Source organism: Homo sapiens, chromosome 1 (assembly GCF_000001405.40).
Source record: "Homo sapiens chromosome 1, GRCh38.p14 Primary Assembly".
NCBI classification, from domain to species: Eukaryota; Metazoa; Chordata; class Mammalia; order Primates; family Hominidae; genus Homo; species Homo sapiens.
This window is the reverse complement of record NC_000001.11, coordinates 212,685,683-212,707,913: the sequence shown is the minus strand read 5'-3', so window position 1 is coordinate 212,707,913 and position 22,231 is coordinate 212,685,683. Positions and strand designations below refer to the sequence as shown.

Below are 22,231 nucleotides of genomic sequence, written 5' to 3'. Positions count from 1 at the left end.
AAAAAAAATCCTAAGGCCATAATCAGACAAGTGCAGACATACGTGAGTACAATGATATTAACAATCTTGTTTCATCATATGTAAAAATTAAAAACAACAGAATAGTAAGGACTTACTTAGACCATCTATGGCATATCTGCTATGGAAACTGTGCATATTTAAAATAATGGCAGGTGTATATTTATTGTCATGAAAAGATGCTCTGTAACACTAAGTGAAAAAGCAGCTCAGAGTATGATTTCTTTTCTTTTTTTTTTTGAGACGGAGTTTGGCTCTTGTTACCAGGCTGGAGTGCAATGGCATGATCTTGTCTCACCGCAACCTCCACCTCCCCAGTTCAAGCGATTCTCCTGCTTCAGCCTCCCGAGTAGCTGGGATTACAGGCATGCGCCACCATGACCAGCAAATTTTGTATTTTTAGTAGAGACGGGGTTTCTCCATGTTGGTCAGCCTGGTCTCGAACTCCTGACCTCAAGAGTCTTGAGGCCCACCTCGGCCTCCTACAGTGCTGGGATTATAGGCATGAGCCACTGTGCCTGGCCTAGAGTATGATTTCATGCATATAAGTATATATGTAGTATATACTTGCATAGAAAAAAGTGGGAACGCAATAAATGCCAAAATATTAGCAGTTATCTCTGTGTGGATGCTTGGATTATGGAGAATCTGTTTCTTCTCTATGCTTTTCAATTGATTCTAGATTGTATTATTACGGATGACCAAGTATCATAAAAATATGGACCGTTACGGCTCATATATGTAATCCCAGCACTTTGGAAGGCTGAGGTGGAAAGATCACGTGAACCCAGGAGTTTGAGACCAGGCTGAGCAACATGGCGAGACCCCGTCCCTACAGAAAATACAAAAATTAGCCACGTGTGGTGATGTGCATCTGTAGTCCCAGCTGCTCGGGAGGCTGAGGTGGGAGGATTGCTTGAGCCTAGAAAGTTGAGGCTGCAGTGAGCCCTGAGCATGCCACTGCACTCCAGCCTGGATGACAGAGCAAGACCCTGTCAAAGAAAAAAAAAAAAAAAAAAAGAAAAGAAAGAAAAAGAAAAGAAAAAAGAAAATATGGAAGGTTGTGAAGTTAGCTAGCTATTAGATGCTGCCCATCTCTACCACAATGTCACAGACTGTCGAACAGGGCTCTGAGTTAGGAAAGTAATTTTCTCATTCTAAAAAAAAAGTACAGGGCCAGGCAAGGTGGCTCATGCCTGTAATCCCAGCACTTTGGCAGGCCAAGGTGGGTGGATCACTTGAGGTCAGGAGTTCAAGAACAGCCTGGCCAACATGGTAAAACTCCGTCTCTACTTAAAAAACACACACACACACAAAATTAGCTGGGCGTGGTGGTGGGCGCCTATAATCCCAGGTACTCAGGAGGCTGAGGCAGGAGAATTGCTTAAACCCAAGAAGGTGGAGGTTGCAGTGAACTGAGATTGCGCCACTGCGCTTCAGCCTGGGCAACAGAATGAGACTCTGTCTCAAAAAAAAAAAAAAAGTACAGCAGATTACAAATTTCAAAAGCTGACTCTCAAAAAAAAAAAAAAAGTACAGCAGATTACAAATTTCAAAAGCTGACAAACACCAAAAATATTAGAAAATCAGGAAGAATACTGTTTCAATTAACTTCTCCACATACCTCTTTAATACTTTTTTCTTATACTATAGTTTTTGGCAGCATGCTTTTGTTCTCCTATTCATAAGACAATGATTCCATAATAACATTTTCTACAGACTAGAAAGATAATTCAGTCTTTCCATGTAATGGGTGAAAAATTAATGTAAAAAATATTCAGATAATTTTGTTTCAGCTTCACAACACATTCTTTATTGGTAGTGTCATATAATTTTTAAGAATTGTAGGGCCGGGCATGGTGGCTCACGCCTGTAATCCCAGCACTTTGGGAGGCCAAGGCAGGTGGATCACCTGAGGTCAGGAGTTTGAGACCAGCCTGACCAACATGAAGAATCCCCGTCTCTACTAAAAACACAAAATTAGCTGGGTGTGGTGGTACATGCCTGTAATCCCAGCTACTCAGGAGGCTGAGGCAGGAGAATCATTTGAACCCGGGAGGCGGAGGTTGTGGTGAGCCGAGATCATGACATTGCACTCCAGCCTGGGCAACAAGAGAAAACTCCGTCTCGAAAACAACAACAACAACATCAACAACAAACAAAAAGAATTGTCAGATTTGGAAAAAACCTCTATTTTTTTTATTTATGAGTTGTAACATTTCAGCGTATTTCATATTTTTCTTTTCCTGTGATTCATTTTAAATATTCTTAGAATTGATGACACTCATTAACCAATTTGTTATAAATGTCCTCATCGTGTTGGCATATTATGAGCTTGGTATTATCCTCATCAATGTCAATATTTCAGCTGAGAGCAGTAAGAATTGTAAATATTTTCCTATTGTGTTTGTATGATCCATCCTTCCTCATTATTGAATCATCAAACAACCCAAAAGCCTGCTCATTGCTTCCATTTGACATTTATCTTTTTCTCTGAATAAACTATTGCTTCTAGTATAATCTGAAATATGTTGTTACAAATTGTTTATTAATATCAGAAACATTTCTATTGATTTCAATTGCTTTTCCTTAGGTCTTTCTTACATTTCATTAATTATATATATTTTTTCTTTCAGTTCTTTAACACACACATACATTTAGAGATGAAAAAGGATGGTGCTCTTCATGTATGAACAAATGTTTCACAACACATTTCCAATAGCAGTTAAAAAGTCAAATATGCAACTCCAGATAACAAAGGAAAAAACCCCTCTGGGTTTTTCAAAATGCAATTTGTAACTGTATAAGCTGTATTGTTGCTTTCATTCCCGACAGGAGATAATTTGGTTTTGACTAGATGCAAATAAGAAATGAATCCTCTGTTTACAACTTAACACGTATGTTGATTTGAAGGATTTTCACAGACTGCTTCTGGGGCTCCCCTCCACCACCTTGATACATATATGTCTGGTGCAGGGCAGTGTAGGATATATGCATGTCTCAGTACAATAGATGTTGTCAAGTGAGTTAGCACAGTGGGCAGTCAGAATATTCTGGAGGCCATACAAAATGTGTAGCAAATATGTGACTGTATACAGGAGTTTCTGAAACCCACATACCCTACTATATTAATATATCTGGTTAAACCTTCCTTTGCTAGGTCCCTCAAATGTCCATAGCCATTGCAATACCACTAGATATGAAGAGACTGGGGGAAGCTGGGGTGAAAAGAAACAGTGGCCTTCACAGTTTATGGTTTAAATATCCCCTTTTTGCACATTTTATTAAAATATATCACCATGTGGACACATTGCTAGGGCCCCTTCTGAGCTGTCGTGACAGGGGCCTGTGTAAGTGAGGTGCCCTGAAGCTTAAGCCCTTTAACTTCCTGGCAAATTTGCCTCGGCCTTCCCACTCCCAACATCTCCCAAGCCCCTATCCCAGCTATCCTGGACTGCTGCCGTCATTTCCTGTTTCTTCCTTGCCCCTCTCAGTCTGTTCTTAACACAGCAACCAAAGCGATCTCATAAAAAACTCAAGTCAGATCACGTCATACCTCAGCCCAAAGGCTTCCAATGTTTTCCATCTCACGCGCAGTAGAAGCAAGTAGCCCAGGAGGCTCCGCAAGACCTGGCTCTTACCGCCTTTTTGACCTCATCTCTTGGCCTCCACCCCTTCCTCACTCCACTCCAGCCACATGAGCCTCCTGCAGTTTCTGGAGTGCCAGGCAGGCTTTCATAGGGCTTCTGCATTTGCTGTTGGTGCAGCCTGGACCACATCCTGCAGGTATCCAAAGGGCTCCCTCCCTCTCTCACCTCCTTCCAGAAGCCTGGCTGGACCTCCCTATTCAAAAGTGCACCTCTCCCCACACCTAGTCCCTATTCCCTGCTTTGTATTCTGCCATAAAATGTACCACCCTCTGACACACTACTAAATTTTGTTTATTGTCTGCCTTCCTCCGCTGAAACGAGAGCTCCGGGAGGTATGGACAGTTTTTTGTCCACTGCTGTATCCCAGTGCCTAGAACAGGGCCCCACACACAGTGGCTGACTTCTGGCAAATACAGCGGATTCTGCCTTCAGCTTTCTATTCTCCAGCCCCACCAGGAGCCCGCAGGACCACCTTCTAAGGAAGGGCAATGAGACTACAATGACTGAAAGGCCAATTTTCCTAAAAGAGAGAAGCAAAGGTGAACCAGTGACAGTGTTTGCTAGAACTGGAGTGATGCGTTTTTATAAAGGGTTGTCTTTTGTGAAGTGAATCACCAGAGGATTTGGTCACTGAGCTATAAACCTCTTGCACCTCCTACCCCCTCCCCAAAGATGTAATCCAGGGTAATTGTGGTATTAATCGGAAATTGCCAAATCATATAATTTCTCTTCCCAGTTCAAGGAAAATAATACAAATAAAAAGAAAATAAAAGGCTGAAGAAAAGGAGACATTTGAAATGCTTCTTCTTGTTTATCTTTTCTTTACTTTCATTTTTCTTTCTCCTTCTGACTAAAGAGAATAAAACAAACGAGAAGATATTACAGAAAAGCAAGGAAAAGTCTGTTATTAGAGCAAACCACTTGATCAGAGAAGTGCTGGCATTCTGGTGAGGCCAGTGAGCTTAGTGCCATACAAATATATTTATATCACTTATACATATGAAATGTTTTAAGATGCTAACATAATAAAAACCATTTTTCAACAAGTACAGGTAAAAGAAATTATAATGCCACCATTATAAGAGAAAGGCTACCATCAGGGTACGTTTTCTTCCAATCTTTTCTCATATGCATACATTCGTACATACTGTTCATGTCATATATGTACTTTTTGTATCCTGATTTTTCTCACTCTACTTCAGATCAAATAAACATTCCAAGTGGCAAATTTGTCTGCATGTTTGTAATTTTTTTTTTAAGAGACAGGGTATCACTCTGTTGCTCAGACTGGAACTCAGTGGTGCAATCATGGCTCACTGCAGCCTTGCACTCCTAGGCTCAAATGATCCTCCCACTTCAGCCTCTAGAGTAGCTGGGACTACAGGTGAGAGCCACTGCATCCAGCCTGCATGCTTGTAATTTTAAAGATGCATAACATTCTATCCTGTGGCAATAACATATTCTGTTTAGCCATTCAACTATAATCGGACATTTATGTTGCTTACATTTTTCACTCTTAAAATGTTATTATGAACTTCTAGTGCATATAGTATTTTTCTCCCTAGTATTTTCAATGATGTTTCTAGGATGATTTTCTAGCAGTAGGAAAATTGAGTCAAAAGTGATGACTCTTTTATGGTTCTTGAAAGTGACAGTAAAACTGCTTTCCAGCAGGTTTGTGCCAATTTACAATGAAGCCAGTGAAACATGTGAGTACCAATTTCACCATACTCTCCCCAGCATTTGATATTACTTTTTATTTTGCTAACTTAAAAAGGGTTCTTATTTTAATATATATTTTCCTATACCTATTTTCCTTGATTATTTCTTCTGCTGGGAAATGCCATTTCATATCCCTTCTGCAATTTACCTTTGCGGGTTGTCTCAATATTCTTCTTCTTCTTTTTCGTGGGCTGTATATTAACCCTTTCTCATATGCACTGTATTTATCCAATCTGTTTGTTTTACATTCCTGGTTATACTGTCATCTAAAACAATTTAGCCCTTTTATATAGTTCAGATCTTATCAAGTCAATTTCTCCTATTACATGTATTCTTATAAGATCCTTTCCTTATCTTATCTCCACAACTTTATTTTATTTATTTGAGATAAGGTCTTGCTCTGTTGCCCTGGAGGCTGGAGTGCAGTGGTGCAATCATAGCTCATTGCAGCCTCAAACTCCTGAGCTTAAGTGATCCTCCTGCCTCAGCGTCCTGAGTAGCTGGGACTACAGGTGTGCACCACCACACTCAGCTAGTTGATTTCTTTTAATTTTTGGTAGAGTTGGGGGTCTCACTATGTTGCCTATGCTTCCATGACTTAAATAAGAATTTAATTCTGCTTTAGCTCTCTGATTTTCATTTCTGTATCTAGCTATTTAATCCATTCATTTTGATGTATGATCTTTACATCAAATTGATCTCTGCCCTAAATGCTACCTAGTTAACCAAGACTAAATGTATTTGAAGAAACCCTTGCGTAACACAAGACAGTAGACTATGCCTATATAAAGAGTTCGTGTGTGCTGGGACATGGTTTCAGGCTCCCTGGGGAGAGACAGGGAAGCAGCAGCCCCAAAGGACTTAAAATGTGATGTGGTTCAGTGAGAAAAGTGGGCATGACCAGAATAAAGTGTAGGAGTGCACGGGAATGTTCCCGAGGTGTTTCTACCTTGCCTTTTCTGTGCATAAAAAACACTGGGGAATGAAATCACTTCTGAAAATGATAACCCCTTGACCCAGATGTTTTCCTAGCTCGTTAGAGCCCTTTTAGTGCTTCAGGAATGAGAGCTTTCAGCTGACCTAGTGCAATACATATACTGAGCACCTGTTGAGTGTATGTAGCGTGCTATGCTAGGCACCTTGTGTGGGTACCTTGTGGGATGCAAAATAGTCCTGGGGCAACCACCAGTTAAGCTGAGTGATGAAATAACGGAGAGGAAAAGATTAATCCGGGCAGATAACCCAGCGTAGCGCTGGCTCTGCTGCGCAGCCTTGCTGCTGTGGAGTGTGGCGCTGCAACTCTAAAGGGCTGCGTCCACCCTCCGTCTTCCTCCCCGCCTCTCAGTTGGCCGAAGCTTCTGATCACACAGACAAGAATCTCCGCTCGCTTTCCCGCTGGCCTCCAGGCAGCCAAGTTCACTCAAGCTCTCTCAAAGCTTTTGCAAGAGTGGGTCTTAAATCCTGGCGGGGGGCACGTGCACTCATTTAAGACTTAAAAAGGAATCGGAAATGACTGTCCCCATGCCCACTGCTGCCCACAAACCTGAAGACCCAAGCGACCACACTTGGTAGGCACTTCTGCCCTTCTGGTCTGGTTCCCACCCGCCCATCCCGAATCGCGGTTATCTTTCCCGGTGCTCACAGCATGCAGACCACAGCCTGTGGCCGCTAGTGTTTCCTTCGCTAGGACCACGGGTAATTGTCTTGGCTTCGCATCTTTTGACTGGCAGGCAGGTGGACAGGGACTTGCCCTACCTCAACCCGGTCCCCAGCTTGGCACGAGCAGATAAATCTTGAAAAAGAAAAATGATCTGGGCCGTTTAACCGTGGCATGGCGGGTCCAGATCCCCAAACCTGTCACTAGTGACGTCCCACGTGGCAGATTCGCTCTCAGGGAAGCCCGTCACCGTTTTTGTCCGGGACATCCTCCCCATGCCCACCCTCCGCTCCGGGAATTCACCCTCGGGGCCGCCCCGCCTCGTTCCCTCCCACAGCCCGGCGGACCCGAGACGGGAAGGGCAGGCACTCCCTGCAGAGTCCCTGGGGCGCCCGTGGCTCGGGGTGCGCGGTGGGACTCGGTGAAGCCGGCGTCTTCACCCCAGAGCCGCGGCTTCGGGGCCGCTGGAGGAGCGAGAGTGGCGCCCGGATGACTGATCGCCGCGGAGAAAGTCCCCCGGGACTGTGACCCCCGCGCCGGGGGGCGGACGCAGGGCGTGGCTGAGGCGCAGGAAGATGCCGCGATGGGACCGGGAAAAAACACCGACCCCAAAACACCCACTGTGTTTCTCAACCTGAGTTCCCCGGCAGCCGCCGAAGGACCCCAAAGGCTGCATGGCGCCCCCCTGGTCCCCACCCCCCCGGGCGTCGCCTCGCGTGGGTGGGCTTCGCGTTCCCTCCGGGGTTTCAGAGCCACCACGTGACTTCCACGAAGCGCGGGGCGCCGGCGGAAAGCCGCGGCAGGGGTGGGATTTGGGACCCCGAGGTGCGGAGAGAGGGCGGGCAGAGGAGGAAACGAGGCGGGGGTGGGAGAAGGAGGGCGGGGCAGACGTGGGACGGGAAGGACGGCTGCCGGGACTGGCGCGCGGGGACACTGGGCCGACGCGTGGAGTAGCGGGGAGAGCGGGAAGCCTGAGGGGGCGGGGCCGGCGCGAGGCCGTGGGTGCGGCACGAGGATGCCGGCGGCGGGACAGCGCCCGTAGGCAGCCCCACGGGCAGGGCGCGCGGGCGGGGCGGGGCGGGCCGGGCCAGAGGAGCGCCCGGCATGTCGCAAGGGCTCCCGGCCGCCGGCAGCGTCCTGCAGAGGAGCGTCGCGGCGCCCGGGAACCAGCCGCAGCCGCAGCCGCAGCAGCAGGTAGAGGGCGAGAGGCTCAGGGAGGGCCGTGGGGTGCGGGGACCGGCGCGCCGCGGGGGGCGAGGAGGTGGGTGCTGGAGTTCCGTGGTGGTGACTGCGGAGGTGCAGAGGTGGCGGGTGCGGCCGGAGACAAGCAGAGGTAGGGGCGTAGGGATGTTGGGGAATGGGGGCGATCCAGGGACCCTGTCGTGCGCACAGTGTCCGCGGCTCCTGGAATGGCTCCTGAGCCAGCTCCTGCGCCCTCTGGGGGAAGAAGCCCGAGGGCGCCGACGCCTGGCTGGGCCGGGCATGGCCGGTGCTCCCCGGCACGTGGGCTCCGCACTGCCCTGAGGGCCGCCCCATCCTGGCGCAGCCAGCGACTGCCACCCCACCACCCGCGCCTGTAGCCCCTCCAGGATTCCCCCGGGTGGGGGGGGTGCTGCCGCGGGAATGGAGAACGCCGGACTAGTCAGCCTGGGCGGAGGGAACCCACAAAGGGCCGACTCCGCCCCCAGCTGGTGGAAACCCTTTGCCCCTTCCCAGTTCGCTGTCCCCTAGCAACGTTTACAGCGGCGCAGTCAGGAAGGAGACCAGGTTGGCCACAGGGACGGCCGTCTGGAAACTTTGCCTGGGTCTTGGCCACCTGCCTTACGACGAAGACTGGGTCTTTTCATCCTTACTCCCCACCTTCCCAATTCAGCGCCCGGCCCATGTCATCAGGTGTCGCTGGAGTGTCACAGAGATCTGAGTTTGGGCCTGGGCTTTGCCACACACAGGCTGAGCAGCCTTGAGCAATTTGTTTAACCTCTCGGACCGTCCATTTCCCCATCTGTAAAATGAATATAGTAACATCAACCTCTCAGGATTTTTGAGACTGAATCAGATATGGTTAATAACATAATACTATCTCTAACTTTCGCTCACCTCTTTCTGTCTTGATTAAATGTTTCTGCTGGGTTGGCAGGTGTGATCATGGTGATGAGTCCAGTTTAGAGTCAGCTCCCCGAGGGCAGTATGCAGGCTGCTTTCTTGTGCTAGTGACTTTTTGATTACAGAGAGCAAAGAGGCATGAGAAGCACTATGCAGAATACATTTTTTTTTAAAGTAGCAACTTCAACAAAGGCAGGTAACTTCTTGAGGGCATACTGTATGCTGGGAGCTTTAGGACAAAATCTCATTTCATCGCATCCCAATCCTAAGCATTAGGCTGTTAGCACCAAGTCTGCAGAGTTCACTGACCCTTTGTTTAGGGCTTGTATCCCCAGTGTCTAGAACAGTGTCTGGCACATGGTAGGTGCTCAGTTAATACATATTGAAAGAATGAATGAATTATGCTTACAATAAATGAGAAAACTGAAAATTTAGAGAATTTAAACCATTTACACAAGACCATGTTGACACTAAGAGACAAAACTAGGATCTGTGTGATTCTAAAGCTAAAGAGCTGTCTTCTAACCACATGTTCCCCTGTAATGTTCTGGTTTTGTTTATCAAGACTTCTTTGCCTCTCTAGAAGACTGTATTATCATACTTTGTTCCCTTAAGCTTCTATTTGCTATGTATGTTATTTATTCCTCTCCTTTTTATGCCTTTATATTCTTGCATATCTGAAACTTCTTACCTGCAGTAACTTGGGAAGATGTGTGTCTTATGTGGAATACAAGATGAGATCAAATGATAACTGAAAATATCCTTTTTTGTGTTATTAATATTTGCATTCCGTGAATATTAATAACTGAGTAGTTTTCCTTGTTTGTACCTCTTGGCTCTTAAACTCTGTAAGTGTGGTATTTTTCCCGCTTGGTGGTGTCTTCTCATGGGGTTCTAGAAAGCAAATACTGCTCTCCTTTTTCATGTTTTCTATAGCTGATTGAAGTGTTTTTACCATGGTCAGTGCATTTTTCCGCCTGCCTGTTTCATGATCACTATTGAGGGATTTGACTGAATTTGGTTAAATCTTACATATAGCTAACAGCTTTCAAGACACATAAAAAATTTGCTGACTTCTGAAACAAAATGTCAGCCAAGCATTGTTCAAATGAGTACACTGTCAGTGGGGTTTAAGATCATTTGGTGTGTTGGTAGAGTTATGTGGCTGCAATTAGTTGTAAGTGTAATCATGATTTGCATGCAGTATCAAAAGTACCTTTCATGTGTGGTGGTATAAGGACTGGCAAACAGCAAGTTCCAGATAGCAGATCTCTCCACCGCCCCCCACCCCCACCCAGCTTTCCAGTCTCAGATGGACGACATTGACACCACAGCTCTTCCAGGCACACGCCCTGTGGGCTAGAGGTTTATGAACGTTGATTTGGAGACCAACAGACCTGAGTTCCACTTCCCACTCACCCACTTAGTGGCTGTAATACCTGGAGCAAGGTCCTTAACCTCTCTGAGTTTCTTATTCCTCATCTTTTAAACGGCGGTCACACCACACACTTCACACACTCACATGGTGAGTGCTCCTGGGCAAGGGGCTGTTGTGAGCCCATTGGTATAGCAACTAGTGGTGCTGTCTACTGCAAAGCAAATGATGAAGCTCAGTGAACAACGCTGAGTGATGAGACAGGGCAGAAAAGGGTAAGGCGAGGGGCCACGACATCACACCCACCCAGTGTTTTTCCCCAGAGCCCTGAGGATGATGACAGGAAGGTCCGAAGGAGAGAAAAAAACCGAGTTGCTGCTCAGAGAAGTCGGAAGAAGCAGACCCAGAAGGCTGACAAGCTCCATGAGGTGAGACCGTGGTAGGGGCAAGCCACCTTAGAGCCACACAGCCTCTGCCTTGCACGGGAGTGGGGGTGATGACTGTTCTCTTTATCACGATTTCAGCAACACTCATATCTAATTTCTGCCAGGTCCTTCCAGCCCAGTGTTCTCACTGTTTGCTCACGGACGTGTTCATTTCTCCCTCATCCACTGAGTGCTTCTCATGGTCAAGTTTATTTCATTATAAAACAAAACAGAGCCTCTTCTGGACCCTGATTCCCTTTCAAGTTCTTGCTCCATTTCTTTTCTTCCCTCACGTCCTTACTTCCTGTTTTGTTTTGTTTCCCTCCAAAGTAATCCGCTAACATCTTTGCTTCTTAAAAAAGAGTAGTTACACCTGTTGTCTCTGTGTCCCTGGTTCCTGGTTATTCCCCAATCCTCTGTGATTTAATTTCTGCTACCCCCTTTCCACTCAACACACATATATATACACACAAACAAACACACACATTCACACATGTACCCAATGTGTGTGTGTACACACACACACACACACACACACACCCTACAGAAACTGCTCCCATTGCAGCCATCAGTGCCCTGGCACTGCCCTATCCAGGACTCTCTTTCTGGTCTCATCATCCTTTACCTTGTTAGAACATTCGACACTTTGGACCCATCTCTTCTTAAAGCTTTCCCCTCTTTTGCTTCTAAAAGACCACATTTCCTAGTTTTCCTAACCCTCTTCGCCGATTTTTTTCTCTATTTCTTTGTTAGCCTTCGACCCTTTATTGGCTTAAATGTTGGTGGTGACCAGTGTTTCAAACTCTGCCCTTTTTTTTTTTTCTCACCCTGGAAGACTTAATCTATTAATCTGTTCTCCCAGCATCAGCTCCCAACATTGATTACTCCAGGCAGGCCCTCTGTCCTGGACCCTAGACCCCATAGCTTCAGTGTCTGCTGAGCTGTTTCTCCATGGGTCCACTGCAGGCTCCTGTGATGTACCACATCCATAAAAGAGTGTTATTGTCCGTTTACCCTGAGACTTTCTCTTCTCATTGTCTTCAAACTGCAGTTAATGGAGCGAACCATCTTTCTCATCACTCAAATCAGAAGCCTAGGATTTATCCTAAGCCATTCCTTTTCCCTCCGCCCTCATGCATACACCTGCATAATCCTGCAGTTGGGACGTGGAGCTGCTCCATACCAGGAACTGGCCTTGAAAGCATCCAAGGATCTATCTGAGGAATGGGCCACCATTCCATGTTCTTGTCTTTGTCGGGGTTGGTGTGTGTAATTAAAGATTTTAGTTTAGCTCTCTCCTGCTATACTTTCTTGTCTTTTTGAGACGGGATCTTGCTCTGTTGCCCAGGCTGGAGTGTGATGGCATGATCATGGCTCGCTGCAGCCTCCACCTCCCAGGCTCAAGCAATCTTCCCACCTCATCCCCTCAGCCCTTATTTTTGTAGGTTTTTTTTTTTTTTTTTTTTTTTTTTTGAGACAGAGTCTCTGTTTGCCCAGGCTGGAGTGCAGTGGCATGATCTCAGCTCACTGCAACCTCTGCCTCCTGGGTTCTAGCGATTCTCCTGCCTTAGCCTCCCGAGTAGCTGGAACTACAGGCGCCCGCCACTACACCCACCTAATTTTTCGTATTTTTAGTAGAGATGGGGTTTCACCATGTTGGCCAGGCTGGTCTCGAACTCCTCACCTCGTGATTCACCCGCCTCGGCCTCCCAAGTGTTGGGATTACAGGTGTGAGCCACTGCGCCTGGCCATTTTTGTAGTTTTGTAGAGGTGGGGTTTTGCCACGTTGCCCAGAGTAGTTTCAATCTCCTGGACTCAAGCGATCCACCTGCCTTGGCCCTGCAAAGTGTTGGAATTACAGGCATGAGGCATTGTGCCAGGTCTCCTGCCATGCTCGTCTCAGCAAGGCCATTCTGGGGCATTGGCAACATGGAAACTCTGAGGTGTGTTGGGGAGAGGAGAGGAAAAGGGCAATCTTAAAACTCTAACAATGAACAGAGAACAAATTTAGAATGTACATACTCCACAGAGAGGTGACCTTCCGATATAAATTCACAGTGTGGCATAAATCATAAATGTCAGATTCTTTCCTAGAAGTAAGAAGGCTGGGCCCTAGAAAGAGACTGAGGTCTCTAGACTAGTGTCACAGAAGGTGCCTCCTAGCCTTTGTTCTGAAGAATTTCCACAGAAGAACGGCAATGCCCTTTGCCTCCTTTCTTTCTTCCCCCTTGCTCCTGAAGCAATTGTGGTTCTAGTGTCATGTTACCAAAATAGCCCCCAGAGGGGACCTGTGGCTCCCAGTTAGTGCATGGCCCTGTATTCAGACCACATGTGCTGCTGGATGGCCAAGGCATTACTCCTGAAGAAGCTCCTAGTCCCAGCCAGGTACATTAATATTTTTAAAAACTAGTTTTAAAAACATCAGTTGTAAATCTGGACTGAATACGTATCTGGAGGACAATATCTTGGACAAGATCTTTCATGGAGCACAGTCGAGTAGATCCATTTCACAAATACCAAGGCATTGCCATTGGGTCACAAAGAGAGGAGGAAGATCTCATGCCTTGCCTGTCGGTGGGAAGCCTAGAATTTCCCAAGGAAAGGATGTTAATTTCCTACTGCTGCTGAAACAAACTCTCACACATTTGGTGGCTTAAAACAACACAAATTTACTATCTTCCAGCTTTGGCAGTCACACATCAGAAGTGGGTCATATTGGGTCAAAATGAAGATGGCAGCAGGGCTGCCTTCCTTCTGGAGGTTCTGGAGAAGATTCGTTTTCTTGCTTTTCCCAGCTTCCAGAGGCTTCAGTGTTCCTGGGCTTGTAGTCTCCTTGAGCCAGCAATGGCCGGTTGCGTTTTTCTCAGGCTGCGTTACTCTGGTGCTGTTTCCGTTGTCACATCTTCTCTGACTCCCCGACACCCTCTTTCACTTACAAGGACCCTTATGATTGCGTTGGGTCTGCCTGGATAATCCAGGATAGTCTCCCCATCTCACGCTTCTTAATCACATCCGCATAGTCCCTTTTGCTATGTAAGGTGACATAGTCGCAGGTTCAAGAGATTAGAATGTAAACTTCTGTGAGGAGTGAATCGATTATGCTGCCTAGCACAGAAGGTAAATGTAAATACTCACGGAATTTTACTACAATATCAAAAAAGTACCTGTATGAAGCGTTGGCTCTCTCGCACTTTCTGTCACTGCTGCATTTGATAACTGAGTGAACCAGGTGCCTGGGAACTTCAGAGTGGTGCCACCTTTACCCCTATCTGACCTCTCTTGGAACTGTGGGGTGGAGACCTCTTCTGTAGGGTCCCTGGCCTGCTCTCCAACCCAGAGACTGTGTTGCATGACAGTCATGCCAGCTGCCCTTTTCAGAAATGGGGTGGGTTGATCTGAAGCCCAGACACTCCACGGAAGAGCACCCCCTTCTCCTCTCTCTCTGTGGGGCTGAAGGAATGGGTCAGGATTACTCTCCACTGGCAGATCACCTCAGCAAGACCAGCTTTATTGAGAATCACAGGGTCAAAGAGGCCAGGACAGCGGCTCCACCTGTATACAGACCCCAGAGCTGTAGCCCTCACCTTAGCCTCACTAGCTCCACACAAGTGTCGTTGGTCACAAGCGGGTGAGGAAGCAGACGACTGGCTTAGGAAAATGGAAGTATATCCCAAACCTTCTGCAGAACCAAAGGAACATCATCTCTGAACCAAATCATTACTCACCACGTGAGTAATCCCTTCCCTGTTCCTTCCAGGAGGGCATTGTAGCTGTGTGTATCATTGGATGACTAAATCTACTATTGGAGGCAAGGTATCTGGTTTAAAAATGGTGTAAAGAACCCTTTTGTCAAGCTCCAGTGAGTTGAGCACAGAGCGCCTTGCACACTACTGCGGGCCATGACAGAAAGCCCCTTGGGACCCCTGGACCTCCCAGGCCAATCTAGGGTGGGGACACCATGCATAGGAACCTCCTCCTCAAATCTGGAGTGAGGCCAGCTCATTGGGAGACACCAGAGGGCCCAGAAAACAGCCACTGACAGCCACTGCCTGCTGCTCCCTGGAGACTGTAGCGCATCAAAGGGCTTTCTTCATGTGTTCCTCTATCCCACACTGCAGGGATTGCATTCCTGAATATCTCAAAGTAACTCAAGCTCTTTACTTGCATTTCTTGCATATCCTGAGGGGGGATATTTGGAGCAAACTTGTTTAAAGTTTCCACTTTTTGGTCAGGCACAGTGGCTCGTGCCTGTAATCCCAGCACTTTGGGAGGCTGAGGCGGGTGGATCACTTGAGGCCAGGAGTTCAAGACCAGCCTGGCCAACATGGCGAAACCCCATCTCCACTAAAAATACAAAAATTAGCCAGGTGTGGTGGCGTGCGCCTGTAGTTCCAACTACTCGGGAGGCTGAGGCAGGAGAATTGCTTGAACCTGGGAGGTGGAGGTTGCAGTGAGCCGAGATCACGCCACTGCACTCCAGCCTGGGCAACAAGAGTTTCCACTTTTCTCTCCTCACCTCACTCACATACTCTACCTATACTTGAGCCTCTGGTTTTTTTGGGTTTTTTTTGCTCTTTCGTCTTCCTGGGTTTTTAAAAAAATATGGAACACTTTATGAATTTGCATATTATCCTTGCTCAGGGGCCATGTTAATCCCTGTATCATTCCAATTTTAATGTATGTGCTGCTGAAGTGAGTACTTGAGCCTCTGTTGCCTCCAACACCCTGAGAAACTTGCCCCAGCTGCAGCTCTTAGGAGTTTTTCGGCCACCTCCCTCCCCTCCTTGTTCTCCATCTCCAAAGTCCTAGGAGTGTCCGTCAAGGCGAGCCCTCTGTGGAGGGGAGAATGGGGGAAGAGGCTGCACAGGCCAAGCCAGAGAGGCAGGGGCTGGGGTTCCCCTTCACGCAGAGTTTTCTGGGCAGTGGTTGCTGGCAGTTGGACTACGGTGATGAGAAGCAGTTCTTAACGTGTGTCTGTAGACCTCAGAGTCCACTGTGGGCTTTCAAATCATCCCTTCAACCCGCTCACACCTCCCGTGGGGATTTCGACCTGCATTCATCTCTGAACACTAGGCGTGTGCCAAAGTCCACACTGACAAATGAGAACCAAAGTGAACAGTCAGGGTCTCGTCTCATCTCACCCAGGCTGAAAGGTGGCTCAGAAGTGGGTCAGACTGGCTCGACCAGGCACCCCAAAGGTGTAAGACTGAGAAAGAATTTTGAGTCACAAAAGGAAAGCAGCAGTGCCATCCTCAGGAGCCCCAAATGTCACAAACTGACAAATGACTTGGGCAATGTGATTGTGGTATGTGTTGCCATGGTTTTTTCAGATATTGCATGTTCTGAGAGCTTCATGGCAGCACCCATGTGGCTTAGAAACTGATTGTGGCACTCATTTGTACAGCCCTTGCTGGTAACACAATTTTTCTGCTGGGAAGTGCATCAGTGAAGGCTTGGGAGTAGACTTATTCTGAAGTCCTGAGATCTTATGGCCTCTTACTTCTGGTAACCATCATGGGGAAATCTGGACCCAGGCACTGCTAACTAAAAGCAGAATTGTTGATGCTACAAGAGAGTTGCAGTTGACCTTGAAGTTAGGAGTCAGATCCCAGGTCTATGTGACCTTGGAAAAGTCACTGTACCTCTCAGAGCTTCAGTTTTCTAACTTGTGAAATGGGGTCTGTGTGTGGCTATGGCCTCCTGTTAGCCTGTTCCTACTTCTTTCTTTCTCACCTTAGTTGTCATATCTGGTCCCTGGTACCCACTTCTTTACCAGTCCTTGATCCTGTCTTCAGCCTCAGAGGCATCCTGGACCCTGCGTATCCCTAGGCAGCCCGTTGATCCCAGTCACCTGCTCCTAGATGCCCAGAACAGGGTTTCTCAGCCTCAACACTGTTTATGCATGGGGCAGCATAATTCCTTGTTGTTGGGGGCCTGTCTTGTGTGCTGCTGGATGTTGAGCAGCATCCCTGGCCTCTAGCCACATGATGTAGTAGCACCCCCGACCAGCTGCGATAACCCAAACTGTCTCCATACACTGCCAGTGTCCCCTGCAGACTGCCACAATTGCCCTACTTGAGATCCACTGCCTTAGGCAGCTTAATTTCTGAGGCAGAGCTGGGATCCACAGTGATTTCACCACCTCTAATTTTTAGGTGTCTGCTTTGAAACTGTCCCGACAAATACCCAGAGAGGGAGCACAGCAACCTCAAACCCTCCCATGGCAAAGGATTTGGAACTTGGCAGAATTCGAGCTAGAGGGGTCATATTTTTGGAAATAATGAAGGGTTTAATGTTCTTTGCTTGCTTTTTGTTTGCGTTTACTCCAGGAATTTCTTCTGGGTGTGAGGTGGGTTTCATTTCTTCCCCCTTTGCTGCTATTCAGTGTTCTCTGGCCTCTTCTTTCTTCCCTCCCAGCTCCTCTTGTTATTTTCAAAGGGCTCGTCTCACCTAAAGATTTTGACTTCTTCTCTTCTTGTTATTCCCTCAGCTCAATAAAAGTCCCTCAGCGGGTTTATGAGTAATGCTTAAATCCTAGAAGAGAAAGTCCTTATGGAGAAGGCAGATGAGGGGCCCGTGGGGCACCTGTCGGGCGGCTCTGAAGACTCTAAGCATGGGTTGGGGGAGGGCAGTGGACCTCAGGGAAGCCTCAGGCCACAGGGCTGCGCACGGCTTCCAGAGACAAAACTGGGAAGCTCAGAGCGTCTTGCTGCGGAATTCAGTATATGTAGAAAGGCAGCTTGGAATATTCTACCAAAGGAAGAGGGCTTCTTGTCCTTTGGAATCTACTTAAAATGTTAGCACATTGGAACTATTCAAATGTACTCTCCATTTTACTTGAAAGTCAAGGGCATTTCCTGCTGCAGGGTGGAGTGTGTGTGTGTGAGTGTGTATGTGAATGTGAATGTGGGGAGTCTGCATGTGAGTCTGAGTTTTTGTGAGTGTGTGTGACTGTGTGAGGTGTATGTATGTGTGTATGACTGTATGTGTGTGACTGTGAGAGTGTTTGTGTGACTGTGTGTTGATTGTGTATGTGTGTGAGAGTGTCTGTGGCTGGGTATGAGAGTGTGTTTGCAGATGTGTGTGTGACTGTGTGTATCTGTGTGTGTGTCTGTGGTTGTGTATGAGTGTGTGTGTGTGAGAGTGTGTGTGTCGGGCTGTGTATGAGAGTGTGTGAGTGTGTTTGCGGACGTGTGTGAGTGTGTGTATATGTGTATGTGTGTAAGAGTGTGTGAATGTGTATGAGAGTGTGTGAGTGTGTGTTTGCAGACGTGTGTGTGTGCTGCAGCTTTTCTCATCCCTCTGCTGCCTGCATGATTCCCTTGACGCCCTGGCTTCCATCCCATCCTCCCATCCAGACTCTCCCCTTGCCCACGGAGAGCTTATGGCTGGATTTGTAGACAGAATTCTCACTCCAGAACTAGAGCTTGTCAGAGGTCAAAGGAGGGCATGAAGGCTTGGGAGTGGGAGGCAGGGAGGAGGATAGAGGCAGAATGGGGCCAGTGTACTGGTGAAGCCACATGGCCCCAGAACAGCTTGCTGCCCTGGAGAGTGCTCCAGACCACCCTGGGAACCTGCCTGGGGAATGGCTCAGATAGACCCTACAGGCAGCCCCGCCAGACCCCTTGGTTCTTAAAGGGAGGAAGATGCTGAGAGTCCCTTCTGAAAGGAAAGGATGGGGTTAAAGAAGAAACAGAGGATGAGGGCTGAGGAATCACTGAGCATGTAGGTGCTGGTGCTGTGGCGCATCAGGCAGGGGGTAGAGGAGAGGAGTAGCAGAAGTTCCTAGGTCCTTTACATTTCTGATCTTTGGGGGGAGACATTACTTCATATGAGTGAAATTGAATATGATACAAAATAGAATAGAACACATAATAAAAGATGTGGTTCCTGTAGGTGCTGTGGTCAGGGAAGCCTTCCTGGAGGTGGTGGGCTTGAGCTGGACCCATGCAGAAAAGGAGGAAGGCAGTCCAGTTGAGGATAACTGCAAGAGCAAAGGGGCAGGGTTGAGAATTTGCATGTGTCTTTGGGGGCTATAAGATCACATTTCTTTAGTGATACTCCCTTAAAATTACTAGTCAGAGAGAAAGTGTGATGAGTAACGCAATTGGGCCCTGAGCTTGGGAAATGCATGGTGTGCATGGTACAACAAAGCCTTACTATAAACTAGAAATGAACGAAAACATTTCAGCAAGATTTAAATGAGATTGCCAGCCTAGAGAGGGTCTCTATTGGCATGCCGTAGAGCTCTGCCATTGGCTATTTTTTGTAGAACTTATTAATGACTTGGATGAAGAAAAGGAAGACCTGTGTGTTAAGTTAGTGGATGGCTTAAAGCTGTGTGCTGTCACCATTCATGAGACGATGCAATTGAGATTCCAAAAGATTTTGCAATTTTGCTGGTCTGGAAGATGTCCAAATAAGGAATGAAATTCAGTGGAGATGGATGTAAAATCCTACCCTTAAGCCCCATAGCATCCATCATCATCCAAGGACGGACGGAGAAGCAGCACATGCAGATAAAGCTTGCATTTCTCTGCAGGCTCAGAGAGAATCCTCAGCGGCTTGGGCCCAGCACAGGAGAGGTCACTGCCACACATTTGCCCTTGGCATGGTCTCCAGAACCATGCATTGCATCCTGGGAGCAACATTTTCTGAGATATTCTGGTAAATTGGAGTGTGTGTTGGTGAGGGTCCCCAGAATGGCAAAGAAGAGCCTGATGCAAGGAACTCAGAGGACCTGAGATGCTGTATCCTAACATTTCAAGAACTGCGATATTGAAAAAAGCATTGGATCTACTAGATGTGGTTCTATTAAATGGAACCAAACCCAACAGGTACATTTGAAAGTGAGAGTGTTTGGATCAGTACAAAGAAGAGCTTTTTCTTTTTTTTTTTCTTTTCTCTCTTTCTCTTTCTCTCTCCTTCCTTCCTTCCTTCCTTCCTTCCTTCCTTCCTTCCTTCCTTTCTTTCTTTCTTTCTTTCTTTCTTTCTTTTTTTTTCTTTCTCTCTTTCTTCTTCCTCTTTTTGTTTTTTTGAGTTGGGATCTTTCTCTGTTACCCAGGCTGGAGTGCAGTGCTGTAATCATGGCTTATTGCAGCCTCGAAATCCTGGGCTCAAGCAATCCTCCTGGCAGAGCCTCTTGAGTACCTGAGACTATAGGTGTGCATCACCACACCTGGCTAGTTAAAACAAATTTTTTTAGAGATGGGGTCCCACTGTGTTGCCCAGGCTGGTCTCAAACTCCTGGCCTTAAGTGATCCTCCCACCTTGACCTCCCAAAGTGCTGAGATTACAGGCATGAGTCACCATGCCCAACAAAGAGGATTTGTCTAGTAGAGCAGCCCAGAAATGACAGTCTGTCCATTGAGGGCAGGAGTGCCCAGAACAAGTTGGATATGGATGGTTTCTACATTGTGTGGATTGGGCTAAGGGACCTCTCTGATACCCTGCAGTTCTACGCCTCTGTAAACCCTGATGGAGAGGAAACTGAACAGGTGAGTGCTGGAGCAAAGCCAAGGCAAGGGATGTTTTCATTCATTTGTTAGTGCAATCAACAAACATTTGTTATGTTCCAGGTACTGTTCTAGGTGCTGGGGATATAGCTGTGAACCCAATAGAGATCTTCGGAAAGCACATCAGCATTTGGGGGGACTAACTGCACAGGGGCATGGGGAACTTTTTGGAGTGATTGAAATGTTCCGTGTATTGATCAACACAGGTGTATACATTTGTCAAAACTCACTGGATCATACTTAAAATAGATACATTTTATTTTACGTAAGTTATACCTCAATAAATTGTTTCTCCCAGTGGGAGGGGGGAGACACTCATCAAATAGACAAATATCTGAATATCTGAGCAGTGGAGGGGACATGCGTAATGAGACAGCTTTCATGGGCAAGAGGTGAACAGCGCGGCACAGGAGGACGGAGGAAGGGAACGCTGCACCAGAAATGATTTTGCCCATTCTGTCTCCCCCAGGAATATGAGAGCCTGGAGCAAGAAAACACCATGCTGCGGAGAGAGATCGGGAAGCTGACAGAGGAGCTGAAGCACCTGACAGAGGCACTGAAGGAGCACGAGAAGATGTGCCCGCTGCTGCTCTGCCCTATGAACTTTGTGCCAGTGCCTCCCCGGCCGGACCCTGTGGCCGGCTGCTTGCCCCGATGAAGCCGGGGACACTCCTCTGCCCAGCAAGGAGCCTTGGTCATTTTCATACCTGGGAGGAAGGCTTTTCCTTCACAATTGTATACAGGGGGCACCTGTGGCCAGGCCTCCTCCTGGGAGCTCCAGGACCAGCCAGCTGTGTTCCCTGCAGACTGGGCTCAGCCCGACATCCAACAGGCGCCAAACTCACAGAGCCCTTGTGCAGATCCAGCATGGAGGCCACCCTCAGGAGTGACTTCTCATCCACCCTGGCAGCTAGTAGGTTCTGCTGTTATGCAGAGCCATTTCCTCTAGAATTTGGATAATAAAGATGCTTATTGTCTCTCCCTTCTCCAGTTCTGGGAATTTACAGGCACAATACACTTCCTTTTCCTGGAGAGGTCGTCTTCTGTCTTCTCTGGGTGTTCTGTGGCTCATGGGTCTTGCCTCCCTGCCTGGCCACTCTCCCACAGCCACATCCACAGCAGACAGGGGAGGTGGCTTTAGGGGGCTGTGGTGGAGCATAAGCCAATGGGACTTCCTTGCCACTTCTAGGCCTTCAGAAGTCTTTGACCCAGCTGGGTCACAAAGTTGCATGCTGGGTGTGACCCGTGTGTTTGTCATGCTCTGCACAGCCTTCCATCTTGGCCAACTCTCACACTCATGCTGGACTGGCGTGGGAGATTTTCTATTCCAGGTTGGTTTTCTCAACTGCACTGTCCACTCTGAGGCCACCTTCTTGTTCTATAAGTAGGTGTAGGATAGGGGAGAAACTTTGTATTAGTCTGAGTCACAATTGAGTGGAGAAATTTGTCTCCTTATTTAAACAAATATTCGGGTAGATGAGAAGAGGAGCAATTTCTTTTCAAAAAGCCCTGTCTGCCCGACTCTCGTCTTTTGGGAAAAACAGAACCAAGCCAGGAAGAAGCTGGCCCCAGCAAGGAAAACCAATTGGGAAGACACTCCCCATCCTCCAATTCTCTTTTTCCCTGGAAGAGAGGTGGTTCTGGAGGGTGGAGCCATTCCATCATAAAGGGAACAAGAAATGGGAACAGAAAGGAAAGTGCTTGGCTGTAAATGTAGATGGTTAAAGAAGTAAAAAAACAAGAAAGAAATAGAAGGCAGCCCCTCC

The 22,231-nt window shown here is 47.4% G+C and overlaps 1 protein-coding gene and 1 non-coding gene across 3 annotated transcripts, besides 3 other annotated features; one reads left to right on the top strand and one right to left on the bottom strand.

Moving 5' to 3' along the window:
* Positions 8,057 to 8,136: a silencer, noted in NCBI's record as "silent region_1805". NCBI's record gives its function as "represses an Ori minimal core promoter by ATAC-STARR-seq in GM12878 lymphoblastoid cells {active_cell/tissue: GM12878}" and the evidence as "EXISTENCE:reporter gene assay evidence [ECO:0000049][PMID:35858748]".
* BATF3 (basic leucine zipper ATF-like transcription factor 3) lies at positions 8,074 to 21,497 on the top strand. 2 transcript variants are annotated; one of them, XR_001737289.2, is made up of 4 exons: positions 8,074 to 8,241; positions 10,849 to 10,953; positions 19,493 to 19,787; positions 20,015 to 20,044. XR_001737289.2 is itself a non-coding variant. In NM_018664.3 (3 exons), exons 1-3 carry the CDS (start codon positions 8,152 to 8,154, stop codon positions 21,121 to 21,123), a joined length of 384 nt encoding a protein of 127 aa, NP_061134.1. In that variant the 5' UTR covers positions 8,074 to 8,151; the 3' UTR covers positions 21,124 to 21,497. The 2 variants fall into 2 exon arrangements, 1 of the variants encoding a protein (NP_061134.1); NM_018664.3 differs by lacking the exons at positions 19,493 to 19,787; positions 20,015 to 20,044 and adding an exon at positions 20,935 to 21,497.
* Positions 8,327 to 8,776: a silencer, noted in NCBI's record as "silent region_1804". NCBI's record gives its function as "represses an Ori minimal core promoter by ATAC-STARR-seq in GM12878 lymphoblastoid cells {active_cell/tissue: GM12878}" and the evidence as "EXISTENCE:reporter gene assay evidence [ECO:0000049][PMID:35858748]".
* On the bottom strand, positions 15,547 to 15,650 carry LOC124904694 (U6 spliceosomal RNA). The gene has a single exon (XR_007067233.1). It is a non-coding gene; the product is annotated as a U6 spliceosomal RNA (small nuclear RNA).
* Positions 20,678 to 21,177: an enhancer, noted in NCBI's record as "H3K4me1 hESC enhancer chr1:212860079-212860578 (GRCh37/hg19 assembly coordinates)". NCBI's record gives its function as "activates a minimal SCP1, AML or CMV promoter by ChIP-STARR-seq in naive H9 embryonic stem cells {active_cell/tissue: H9 hESC(naive)}" and the evidence as "EXISTENCE:reporter gene assay evidence [ECO:0000049][PMID:30033119]".
* Positions 21,498 to 22,231: the final 734 nt, after the last annotated feature.